The following is a 13,052-nucleotide window of genomic DNA, read 5'->3' on the forward strand; positions in this document are numbered from 1 at the left end:
CAAAATAAATAAATAAATAAAATACACATAAATTCTGGAAAGCAGAACTCTCCACCTCACAATCTAATTCAAGTACATTTAATATATAAAATGTGTATGTGTGTGTATATATATATGAAATGTACTCAAGTTAAATTGTGAGGTGGAGAGTTCTACTTTCCAAAAATATATATATAAAAAACCTCAAAATTTATATATATATATATATATAAAACCTCAAACTCCTGGGCTCAAGAGATCCTCCTGCCTCAGCCTCCTGAGTAGCTAGGACTCCAGGCATGTGCCATCACACCAGGCTAATTTTTGTTTATTTGTTGTAAATATGGGGGTCTTGCTATGTAGACCAAGCTGATCTCCAACACCTGAGCTCAGGTGATCCTTGCGCCTTGGCCTCTCTAAGTGCTAGAATCACAGGCGTGAGCCACCATCCCATGCCAACTAAAGTACATTTCTACACTGTTTCAAAAGTTCATCCTCATACAATGCCGAAATCTTCTCCTTTTAATTTCTGCCCATAGGTATAGTTTTAATGACAAATGAACTATTAAGTCATTAATGACTTAATGAACTATTAAGTCATTAAATGAGTAATTTAGTTTCTCTAAGATAAATTTCATTCCATGCTAAAAATTTAATATACTTCTATTACTCTACAAGTACAAAGTGTGAAGGCTTTTCACAATATCGTATAAGATATTCCTGCCTAGTTCACAAGTGTATCAGCAAAAGCCTTAAATTTTAAAGAGAAATCAAATATCAGTCCTTACCACTTAAAAACTATGTGAGATAAAGAGTTAACTCCTGAATAGGAAATAAAGAATTCCAAATGCTTACCTTCTAGCTCTTGGTTGTAAAATTCATATCTAAATTCCTAATAAAATACATTCTTATCTTGATACAACTCCAACCTTTCATTTTTTTAATACCATCCCTTTTTCTCAAGAATTGGCAAGTGGGAAGAAGAGGTTTCCACCGCAATTTATTGTTCATTATTTTTACATCTTCTTCGTGAAGACAATGCATGTATTTAAAACATCCTCAAACATTTAAAAGACATTATCGGGCATTACCACTTTAAATAACTGACACTGTACTAGCAAACTTATTAGTATAAACATCACTGAAATTCTTTCCTCTTACTTTTTTTTAAATAACACTGATGAACTAGTGGGAGCAATTTTCCTTCTTTGTGAAGCCTATGAGTGTCAGTTGCACCTCCAATAAAAGTACCATTGACAAATATTCTTGGAACCTGTTGGACAAACAAAAGAAGAATTAGGCTTTACTCTAGTATCAGAACTAAGATCATTTCACATAATAACGAGACATTTGAACTCTGGGTACTTTTATGAGCCTGGCACCACAAAGCTCTTTCACAAATTAAATCTTAAAATCTTTACCCTTTAAGGTAGGTATTATTTTTAGCCCTGTTTTGGAGGAAAATGAGGCACAGGAACTTGCACAAAATCACAATGATGGTACATGACAGACTGGGATTCAAATCCAAACAATCTGATTCTAAAACCTTTCTTCCTGATTACTAAAGCTTTAAATAAACTAAAGCAGATAAACAGTAATATTTAGTTATTTCTTACATTTGTTTACTGAAGGGAAAGAGTGCACTATAAACTTTCAATAAACTTGAAAGTGGCAACACTGTACATTTTTCTGATTATGCATATTATGGAAAAATCCAAATTTCAAGAATCTAAAAACATGGAGCACTAAAGCACTCCTATTAGAAAAGTAATTGAAGACCAACCCCTGTATTGCCCAGGTAAAGGGAGGAAGAATACTTTCATCTTGCCAAGAGCTCCAAGAGGAACTCAAAGATCCATAGACAAGCACTCATAATAACACTACTCATCAACCCCAGTCAAAACACACACACAGAATAAAAATAAAATAAATCAACTCTGCTGTTTCCTATTCTAAGAATCTGGTTCCTAGATCTGCAGCTGCTTTATCTATCCTCAGAGAATGTCTGGCTCATTTTCCTAACACAAGGTTCTAGGCTCTGGGTGATCTAGTTTACAACCTATTAAAGAGGAACAGCACCACAGAGGATATACTCACAGTTCTTTCACCAGTCATTTTGTAAAGAGCATCTTGGAACTGGTTTCCATATTCAAGCAGGTCCAGTTCCACCACTTTATAGTTAACATTCATGTCATGGAAAAGCTTTTTTGCCATTGTACAGTAAGAACAGGATGTTTTTGAGAAAATCACCACACAATTATCAGAAATTGTTTCCTGAAATAAAACCACAAAAAATCATTTTAATTCTAGACATTACCATTTGGAAATAAATTAAGATATAATGGAAAGGGTATGGATTTTGGTCTCTCATGATTCTGGGCTCAAACTAAGCATCATCTATTTTTTCTCATCTGCAGATTGAGGATATTTTTCATTTCAAAGCAATGTTATTAGAAAAAAGATATAACAAAAAGTGCCTGGCATAGAGCAATAACAATAAATAATAATTGTAGCCAATTCATATACAGCAACCATTTCTGTGTGCCAGGTACTATTCTCAACAATTTATCTTCACTGTGTTATTTAAACCTCACTACAATCCTGAGGTAGGTCCTATTATTGTCCCCACTTCACAGTTGAGGAAAGTGAGGTGCAGAGGAAGATCAACAATTTGTTCATGGTTCTCAGCTAATAGGTGGAAGAGCTGGGATTAGACCCAGGCAAATCTGGCTCTACAGTCCAGATATTTAATCTCCATTATACTCCTTTTTCAGCCGGGTACAGTGGCTCATACCTGTAATCCCAGCACTGTGGGAGGCTGAAGCAGGCAGATCACTTGAGGTAAGGAGTTCGAGACCAGCCTGGCCAAAATGGTGAAACTCCATCTCTACTAAAAACACAAAAGTTGCCAGGCATGGTGGCACATCCCTGTAATCCCAGCTACTCAGAAGGCTGAGGCAGGAGAATCACTTGAACCAGGGAGGTGGTTCCAGTGATTCTCCAGCCTGAGGAACACAGTAAGTGGACTCTGTCTCAAAACAAACAAACAAACAAACAAAAAAACCAAAACATTGTACATTTCTTTTTTTTGAGACAAAGTCTCACTGTGTCCCCCAGGCTGGAGTGCAGTGGTGGGATCTCAGCAACCTGCGCCTCCCAGGTTCAAGCGATTCTCATGCCTCAGCCTCCCGAGTAGTTAGGATTATAGGCACCTGCCACCACGGCCAGTTAATTTTTGTTTTTTAGTAGAGACGGGGTTTCACCATGTTGGCCAGGCTCGTCTCAAACTCCTGACCTCAGGTGATCCACCCGCCTCAGCCTCCCAAAGTGCTGGGATTACAGGTGTGAGCCACCGCGCCCAGCCCCAAAACATTATACTTCTTTTCAAATATTCAGTAGGTATTCAGGAGTTAACTCCTTACCTTCTATTCTATAACTTTCAATGGTAAGGAATGGTATATGATTTCTTCTTAAAATGTAAGGCTTACCCCTCTACTTCTATCCTTTCCTATATACCTTTATAGTACAAAAGCTGTCATTACTCTCTTGATAAGGTATTCTCATACTCTTAATTCAGGAAAAGCTACTTCCAGAAATGCTGATTCAATGAGTTTGAGGTAGAAGTTGAAAACTGTATGTTTAAAAAACCTCTCCATATAATGATGATATCAGCCTGGTTTGAAAACTACCTTCCAGGCCTTTACCACAATGGCTATGAGATTCTGCTATGCATCCACGCAGCCTATGAAGTTTTTCTTTTTGTTTTTTGTTTCTAAACATATGAATGCCTGGGACCTTCAAAAGATTTTGAATGGATAGATTTAGCACCCAGACATTTGTCTAGGTTTTTTTTTGTTTTGTTTTGTTTTTGTTTGAGACAGTCTTACTCTGTCGTCCAGGCTGGAGTACAAGGGTGCGATCTCAGCTCACTGCAGCCTTAACCTCCTGAGCTCAGGTGATTCTCCCACCTCAGCCTGCCAAGTGTCTGGGACTACAGACATGTGTCACCACACCTCGATATTTTTTGTAGAGACAGGGTTTCGCCATGTTGCCCAAGCTGGTGTTGAACTCCTAGGCTCAAGCAATCTACCTGCCTCGGCCTTCCAAAGTGCTGGGATTAAGACATGAGCCACTGTGCCCAGCCTGTCTAGTCTGTTCTTTTGTGGTGGATCATAAGCAGTACCTTCAAGATGAAGGCCAAAAACCAGAAAGTATAAGACCCATGCTTCAGAAGTTATACCCACCCTTGGGTGTCAGAAGGGTCCTGAGTTTTAGCCCAGCTGTCTGCAAGTTGGTCTATTTTTATGATTCCCTTGTGTTTACTAGTAATATTTAGTATAAAAGTCCATCCTAGGGAGGGCCTGCCATACCAGAGATGTATTAATGAATCCATCTTACGGAGGACAAAACTAAGGCTGAGTGGTTCGTAATACTGGGATTTGACTCAACCTTGTCACAACACCAAAGCCAGTGCTCTTCCCTCCACCATGCTGCCTCAGGTTACAAGACACACTAACACCATCGTGTAGGGAGAGATGAGCTTCCAGGGCTCTGACATATATTAGACACTGATGAAGAGATTCCAAAGTGAGCTGAAACTAAAGATGACAGCGTTAGGGTTTCTAGAACTCTCTTCCCACTTCTCAAGCTCGCCCTTAACTGTATATCCCATGATGTTGTATTTTTACTTTAAAAGAGGCAATTCAGGCCAGGCACGGTGGCTCATGCTTGTAATCCCAGCACTTTGGGAGGCCGAGGCAGGTAGATTGCTTGAAATCAGGAGTTCAAGACCAGCCTGGCCAACATGGTGAAACCCCATCTCTACTAAAATACAAAAATAAGTTGTGTGTGGTGGTGGACGCCTGTAATCCCAGCTACTAGGGAGGCTGAGGCAGGAGAATTGCTTGAACCCAGGAGGCAGAGGTTGCAGTGAGCTGAGATCGCACCACTGCACTCTGGCCTGGGCAACAGAGCGAGACGCTGCCTCAAAACAAAACAAAACAAACAAATAAAAAAGCAATTCCCTCACAGTTATAGTCAACAGCTAGGAGTTTAGCCAAATCAACTAAAGGCAGACATTTTTTTTGTTTGTGGTAGTAGTGAGTGGTAAGCAAGAGAGAAAAAATGGTATGTCTTGTAGGTTGCAAGGGAAGAAAAACATACATGTAAGAGAGATTTTCTAAGGCAGAATTAACGAAGCTTCTCAGTAAAAGAAAGAGGAAAAGAAGTCCTATCCCTGAGAGGATGGTTTACGGAGTAACTACTGCACACTAGGTTCTGTACTAACAAAGAAAACTGTTAAACTGCTTCCCAGGCCAAAATCAAATAGGATCCCTAGCTAAGGGCAGCTTGACTGGTATCAACACTAGACCTCAAGTGGGTATGATGAAAAGGAGCAGCCAACCTCATTATCCAACTTAGAGGGAGTGAAGACTTCATTAAGAATAAATCTCATACGTTTTAATTACCAAAATGATCTAGGACTTCTTAGTCACAAGGATGATTTTCATAGCAGATTTTAAAATAAATATTAATCTCTTAATTCATTTGCTAAACTATCTCAAGTTTGGATATTGAATAAGCATATTAAATATATAAGGGACAATTCTTTTTCTACAGAGGAAAGTTTTTCAATCATCTCCCACATCACTCACTTGGATCTGGTTCACAGGCGCCGTCGCTAAATTCTCCAAAGATGATGATGTATTGCTCTCCATCCTAAAAGGAATTTAAGAGAACAATGTAGTTTATTAAGCATTAAGGATAATTTATCACGAGTTTTATTTGAAAAAAATCAATCTCATAAACAAATATAGCCAAACTTACAAAATAGAAAAAAATTTTACTTATTATCAGTACAAAATGTCAATATACAAAGTATTTGTTTCACTAAAACCAAAAAGGCCTGTGTGCTTATGTAACTAGCTTCCCAACACCCTTAATTATTTGATAAAATCATATTTACTGTGTTTAAAGCTTGACACACTCTTATTTATAACTGGCAAATTTCAAATATTCCATCCTATGCCATATGACCTGACCATTGGTTTAAAAATATAGTTTCTATTTTCTTAGTAAAACATGCCAAAACTCTATGAACACACTGTGAAGCAGGGAATCTTCAAAGATTTTTGAGGAAGCTACAGTATCTCAACCGCAATGGGCCATAGCTCCAAATTTCCTAGTCTGCAAAGTGGAAACAATAATCACTGGCACGTCTCAAAGGATTTTGTGAAGATTAAATGAATTCATACGCAGAAAGCAGATAAGTGCCTTCCACATAGTAAATGCTCAATAATGTTTAACATTACTACTATTAGTTCCTGAATACAGGACCTCTCATTATCTCAGTATTTATTATCCAAAACCTAGCTATTGGGAGCTTGTAAAAGGAAGCATTCATTGTCAGGAAAATTATCACTAAAAAAAAAAACTCAACCAGTTTATCATCATCAAATCTTTTTATCCCTGGAACCTTTTCTTCCCCATCCACTCATCTTTCTTGGTCAACCAGGCCCTACCGCACTGTTGGAACAATATCAAACACCATGATGCAAACTAACTGCAGAGTAAAATTACAAATCTTACAAGAGGATTATGACATATAATAGATGTTTCAAAAGAGAATTACTCGAATATCTAAAGAATAAGAGAATTTTTGAAACTTCAAATATTTAAAAAACTATTATCCTTGTGATTATGTTATAAAACTCAAATATTCTGCCTTCAAATCAATACTGTATTCATTCATTGGGGGTGCATTTAAAATTTAAATGTTCTTAAATGTAAACATAAAGCTACTTTTTATGTTTTGTTTAATTTTTGCAATAGTCCCAAGCAGAATTTTTTAAACTGGATAGCATGAAATATTAGTCTTCTTTTTGAGATGGAGTCTTGCTCTGTCACCGAGCCTGGAGTGCAGTGGCGTGATCTTGGCTCACTGCAATCTCCGCTTCCCAGGTTCAAACAATTCTCCTGCCTCAGACTCCCGAGTCACTGACACTACAGGTATGTACCACCACACCTGGCTAATTTTTTGTATTTTTAGTAGAGATGGGGTTTCACCATGTTGACCATGCTGGTCTCGAACTCCTGACCTCATATGATCAACCTACCTCGGCCTCCCAAAGTGCTGGGATTACAGGTGTAAGCCACCGCGCCTGGCCTGAAATACTAGTCTTATTTTAAGTGAATCCACTCTAATAGCTTTTTCCAGTACATCTTATCCTTGGATAATGAACATCTGCCCTACACAGTAGTCCCCCTTTATCCACGGTTTCAGTTATCCAAGGTCAGCTGTGGTCCAAAAACATTACATGGAAAATTTCAGAAGAAAATAGTTCGTAAGTTTTAAGTAGCATGATGAAATCTTGAGCCATCTAGCTTCCTCCTACCCAGGGTATGAATCCTCCCTTTGTCCAGCATATGGACTCTGTATAAGCTCCCCACGCTTTAGTCAACAGCTGTCTTGGTGACCAGATCGACTGTCACAGTGTGGTGATGCTTGTGTTCAAGTAACCCTTATTTTACTTAATAATGGCTCCAACAAGAGTGAAACTCCGTCTTAAATAATAATAATAATAATGGCTCCAAACCACTAGAGTAGTGATGCTGGCAATTCAGGTACGTCAAAGAGAAGCCCTAAAGTGCTTCCTTTAAGTGAAACGGTGAAAGTTCTCCACCTAATAGGAAAAAAAAAATCACACGCTGAGGTTGCTAAGGTCTATGGTAAGAACGGATCTTCTATCAGTGCAGTTGTAAAGAAGTAAAAAATTCATGGCAGTTTTGATGTCACACCTCAAACTGCAAGTTACAGCCACAAGGTATAAGTGCTTAGTTAAGCCAGAAAAGGTATTAAATTTGTGGAGACAAGAACAGAAAAAGTGTTCCAACTGACAGCAATGTGTTATGCCAAAAAGCACTGGGCCTATGAGAAGATTCAGCAAGGGATTCCTTGAAATGAGCATTTTGTTATTAAAGTGATTGTTCTTTTATTATTGTTGTTAATCTCTTACTCTGCCTAATTTATAAATTAAACTTTATCATAGGCAAGTATGTATAGGAAAATAGCATGTATAGGGTTCAGTACTATCCGAGGTTTTAGGCATCCACCGAGGGTCTTGGAACGTGTCCACCACGGATAAGGGGGAACGATTATGATATCAGCTCACCTAGAGTGAGGAAGCTACAGCAAACATCAGTTTGTTCAGTTATAACAAAGAAGAGTAAGAGACAGGAATTAAACATTATAACATTATAACCTACCCAATGTTTACAATCTATTATTCCTTGCTTCCTAATAGTATTAGCAAGGAACACTTTAAAACAAAAAAAAAAGTCCTGTGCGCTTAACTCAGGAAGGAGTTAAGGGTAGCGAGCTAGGGAGACTGCAGCCAACCTGAGAGGAGGGTGAAGCTTTAAGATAAAAGAAAGTTGAGTTCCTGAAGCCTAAACCAGAAAAGGTTAGGCAGCACTGGCCTAGCCCTAAGGAAGAGCATTGGTGGAATAAATCAGCAAGCTGTATTTGGTTTATCAACTAAGAAAGCAAGTCCTTTCATCTCAGGTCCAGCACTTAAACTGTCATACCCAAACCATCTACTACAGCATTTACTACTGAAGGAGCTCCAATAGAACACAAGAGAATGTTTTCTTGGGTAGTGAGAGGAGGTAGGAGGTGCATTCTGAAATATTACCCAAATAAAAGTTTCTGGAAGACACCCTTTCCCTTCAATTTCTAGTTGACCTTGGTAAAAACTGTCGCGAACTATGAATAGAAACATGCACGGAGGAAGTAAGTGCACAATAAACATTTCATTTCAACACAGATGAAGCACCTAGTCATGCCACATTTATGGAGCGCCTACTGTGTGCTAAGTAGGCAAAGTGCTATATTGACCCCAGGGATACGCAGAAAAAAACACGGCGGGGCCTCAAAGAGCTGTCAAACACTTAACAGCCTGTGATTAGCCCTTCAGGAGGGGTCTCTAGCTTGGTCTGGAAAGTTAAACTTGAGATTCCTAGAATCTTGCAAAACTGATAGAAGCTCCCAGATCAAGTAGATAGCGAGACAGACTCTCCGGCCAAGTGCGCAGTGGCAGGCGCGGAAGTGCGAGCCGGCAGGACCGCCAGGCACCAGCCGCGCGGGCGTGGGCAGCACAGCCGCAGTTCCCTTCCACTGCAGGTCCCGAAGCCGCTGATATTCCAAACGAGGAAGTGTAAGGAAAGCACTATCCTCGGTCTAGCCGCAGGCGGCATCACCATCAGTCAGCCTCTATCCTAAAAGCTCTGGCCATTCAGCGGGAATCATCGCCTTCACTTCCTGCAGTAGGGTGGCTAAGTTTAGCAAACAAGAATGCAGGACGCCCGGTCAAATTAGAATTGTAACCAAACACCAGAAAACTGTTCCGTTTTTCCTATGTCCACTGCAGTATTTGGGACACACTTGGACTAAGAATCATTCGCTCTTTCAGAGAAATTCCAATTGATTGCGGCGTCTTGTATTTTATGTAGCAATTCACAGAGGGATGGCCTAAGTGAACATGAGTGAAGTATTTTCAACGCGAGAGTCACAGGCTCCTGAAGTCAGCACAGCCGCGGAGGGCACCCTTCCCTGCCCATCCCTCGAGCGCCTCTGCGTGTTATGACTCAGAGCCCACGCGCTAGTACGCCTCGCCCACCCGGCGCCGGGGCAAAGGGGCACCTCCGCCCACCGCTTTCTCCAGACCCCCGCAAGGCCTGCGCACCACGCCGCGGCACTCCTGCCCGCTGACCCCGTACCCAGAGGCCGCAGCTGCCGCAGCTCCCGCAGCTCCCGCCGCCCTGTCAAGCCAGCCTGCCGAGCCGCTCCTGCTCCAAACCAGCCGCGTCCCCGCCAGCGCCGCGCGGCGCCAAATCATGGTCAGAGCCCGGATCTGCAGCGAGCTCTACTGCCGGACACCGCGGATCCCGGGAGCCCGCCTCCTCCGGCCCGGCCCCCGCCTTGCCCCGCCCCGTCCCGCCCCTCCGGACTGCCCGCGCCGCCGCCGGTCACCTCCTCGCAGCTGAGCGCGTCCTCCCAGGGCTGCCCGAGCGCTGGATTCCAGCGAGTGCCACCCACGTGTAAACATCCTTTAGAGGGGAGAAGCGGCTCACTTGCTTATCTCGAGGGTTCATCCGAGCCCCGCCTCTGGATTCTTTTAGGTTTAGGGACGCTCATAAAGGCTCCCAGGCACTTGGAAGCAGTGCATGAGGATGGTGGCAGACATGCTGGGGAAACGGAGGAGAAAAAACATGACCATCCAAAACAGAATCAAAGTGGTGCCTCAGATGTTTCCAACTACCTGTTACACAAGTTTTTGTGTGGATGAAATAAGAGCCTAAATATATCCTCTTATAATTAGGCAATTGGTCGAGACCCAATGTAAATTATGGGGATATTGGGGTTTACATCCATAATTAAAAGAAAAAATCCGGTGTTGAAGGTTTACTCCAAAGAAGACAAAGATTATTTCCCACCACCTGCCAAAAAAAAAAAATTAGGAAACAAAACAAAAGAAATTAGCACAGAGATGTTTCACCATGGCTTTGGAAATGGGCGATTGCTGTTGACAGGATTATTTAAGCCACTCAGTGGTGGTAATAATAGCCTTTGTGCGTCACTATTTAAGGTTGGGGGTAAGCCTTTATTTACTGAGGACACTGAAATTCATCTTAAAGTCAAAGGTCAAATGGTACATCTAAAATTCTAAACAATTATTACAACAATCCAGAGCTTTTTTGATTCTTCATGTTCAACTAAGTGTAAAATTCATGTTACCAAAGTACAAAATAAGAACTTGTATTTCTGACAGTTCTTTTCCAACATTCAAATGGGCTATGTTTGATTACTTAATAAAAGGATGGAAGTTAGTTGCAAAAATAAATACCCCCAAAGGGTAGGAATTCATTCTTTTTAAAGACAAATTTGACTTTGAAAATTAAGGCATGTGGCCAGGCGCGATGGCCTGTCCTGTAATGTGGCCATTACAGGACTGCCCGCTGACCCCGTACCCAGAGGCCGCAGCTGCCGCAGCTCCCGCAGTGGCCAGTCCTGTAATCCCAGCACTTTAGGAAGCCGAGGCGGGCGGGTCACCTGAGGTTGGGGGTTCAAGACCAGCCCCTCCAATATTGGTGAAACGCCGTCTCTACTAAAAATACAAAATTAGCCGGGCGTGGTGGCGCATGCCCGTAATCCCAGCTACTCGGGAGGCTGAGGCAGGAGAATCGCTTGAATCCATGAGGCAGAGTTTGCAGTGAGCCAAGATCACACGATTGCACTCCAGCCTGGGCAACAAGAGCAAAACTCCGTCTCATAAAAAAATAAATAAATAAAATAAAATAAAAATTAAGGTATGTTATCTATCTATAGTGTTGTGGGCTTTTTAATTTTTTTATAAAACTATTTTGGAAATTTATGGTGTTATGTTAGTTTTGAAGTCAAATTTTACCTCATCTCAAATTGTTTTATGAAATAAAGATCATTATGAGGTGAACCGATCATGTTACAATTTAATTTTAATACAGCATAGATGGACTATTATCAAGCACAGAATTCACTGGACAGATTTTTTTAAGGATTTCAGAATGTAAAGTACTTCAGAAGAAAGTGTTATGCCTGAATTCAGCATAATATATTAATAAATATATTGATAATTTTCAACTTCTTTGTGCTTCGTGGGGTAGCTACAGAAGTGATTATTATTTTTGGTCATAGTTGTGATGACTGCAATAGCAAGTTAAGAAATATGTCAGCAGACAGTAGAACGGTGGTTGCCAGGGCCTGGGAGAAGGTGGAAATGGGGAGATGTTGGTCAAAGGGTACAGAGTTTCAATTATGCGAGATAGGTAAGTTCTAGAGAGCTAAAGTACAGCAATGTGACTATAGTTAGGAAAATCGCAATGTATGCTTGAAATTTGCTAAGAGGGTAGATCTTGTGTTCTCACACTTGCACACAAGAAAGAAAATGGGGCCAGGTGCGGTGGCTCACGCCTGTAATCCCAGCACTTTGGGAAGCTGAGATGGGTGGATCAACTGAGGTCAGGAGTTCAAGACCAGCCTGGCCAATATGATGAAACCCCATCTCAACTGAAAATACAAAAATTAGCCGAGCATGGTAGCACGCGCCTGTAATCCCAGCTACTCGGGAGGCTGAGGCAGGAGAATCGCTTGAACCTGGGAGGCAGAGGTTGCAGTGAGTTGAGATTGCGTCACTGCACTCCAACTTGAGCGACAGAGTAAGACTGTCTGGAAAAAAAAAGAAAGAAAGAAAAAGAGAGAAGAAAATAAAGGGAATAGAAAAAAATGGTAAATATGAAAGGTGGTGGCTATGTTAATTAGCTTGATTGTGATAGTTATTATACAGTGTATCAGGCTTTGGAATGAATGTTTGTCCCCTCTGACACTTATGTTGAAACTGTCCAATGTGGCAGTGCTGACAGGTGGGGCCTTTGAGAGATGATTGGGCATGAGAGCTGGAACATGAATGAATGGATTAATGGGTGATCATGGGAGTAGAACTGGCAGCTTTATAAAACAGAGTTCTCTGCTGCCTTGTCCCATGATGTCCTACATGGCTTGGGGAATCTGCAGAGTTCCCACCAGCAAGAAGGTCATTACCAGATGTGACCTCTTGACCTTGCACTTCTCAGCATTCAATACTGTAAGAACAATTTATATACAAATTACTCAGCTTCAGATATTCTGTTATAAGCAACAGAAAATGGACTAAGACATATACATGTATCAAAATATCAAGTTGTACATTTTAAAAGTAAAGTGACAGACCAGGCATGGTGGCTCACGCCTGTAATCCCAGCACTTTGGGAGCCTGAGGCAGGTGGATCACAAGGTCAGGAGTTCGAGACCAGCCTGGCCAATATGGTGAAACCCCGTCTCTACTAAAAATACAAAAAAAAATTAGCTGGGTGTGGTGGCGCATGCCTGTACTCCCAGCTACTCTGGTGGCTGAGGCAGGAGAATTGCTTGAACCCGGGAGGCAGAGGTTGCAGTGAGCTAAGATGGCTCCACTGCATTACATCCTGGGTGACAGAGTGAG

The 13,052-nt window shown here is 41.3% G+C and overlaps 1 protein-coding gene across 3 annotated transcripts, besides 4 other annotated features; it reads right to left on the minus strand.

The window, feature by feature from the left end:
• Positions 958-10,607, minus strand: GLRX2 (glutaredoxin 2). Of its 3 annotated transcripts, none has more exons than NM_016066.4 (4): positions 10,010-10,607; positions 5,634-5,697; positions 2,077-2,253; positions 958-1,252 (listed from the first exon to the last, which is right to left on the minus strand). In NM_016066.4, the coding sequence occupies exons 1-4, from the start codon at positions 10,129-10,131 to the stop codon at positions 1,118-1,120; spliced, it is 498 nt and encodes a 165-aa protein (NP_057150.2). In that variant the 5' UTR covers positions 10,132-10,607; the 3' UTR covers positions 958-1,117. The 3 variants fall into 3 exon arrangements, with proteins under 3 accessions (NP_057150.2, NP_001230328.1, NP_932066.1); NM_001243399.2 differs by having other exon boundaries at positions 963-1,252; positions 10,111-10,550; NM_197962.3 differs by lacking the exon at positions 10,010-10,607 and adding an exon at positions 9,757-9,907 and having other exon boundaries at positions 963-1,252.
• Positions 9,696-9,795: a silencer, noted in NCBI's record as "silent region_1655". NCBI's record gives its function as "represses an Ori minimal core promoter by ATAC-STARR-seq in GM12878 lymphoblastoid cells {active_cell/tissue: GM12878}" and the evidence as "EXISTENCE:reporter gene assay evidence [ECO:0000049][PMID:35858748]".
• Positions 9,696-10,085: a biological region, named in NCBI's record as "Sharpr-MPRA regulatory region 7925".
• Positions 9,772-10,066: a silencer, noted in NCBI's record as "tiled region #7925; HepG2 Repressive DNase unmatched - State 1:Tss". NCBI's record gives its function as "represses a minimal TATA promoter and a strong SV40 promoter by Sharpr-MPRA in HepG2 cells {active_cell/tissue: HepG2}" and the evidence as "EXISTENCE:reporter gene assay evidence [ECO:0000049][PMID:27701403]".
• Positions 9,846-10,085: a silencer, noted in NCBI's record as "silent region_1656". NCBI's record gives its function as "represses an Ori minimal core promoter by ATAC-STARR-seq in GM12878 lymphoblastoid cells {active_cell/tissue: GM12878}" and the evidence as "EXISTENCE:reporter gene assay evidence [ECO:0000049][PMID:35858748]".

This window comes from Homo sapiens, chromosome 1 (assembly GCF_000001405.40).
Source record: "Homo sapiens chromosome 1, GRCh38.p14 Primary Assembly".
Taxonomy (NCBI): Eukaryota; Metazoa; Chordata; class Mammalia; order Primates; family Hominidae; genus Homo; species Homo sapiens.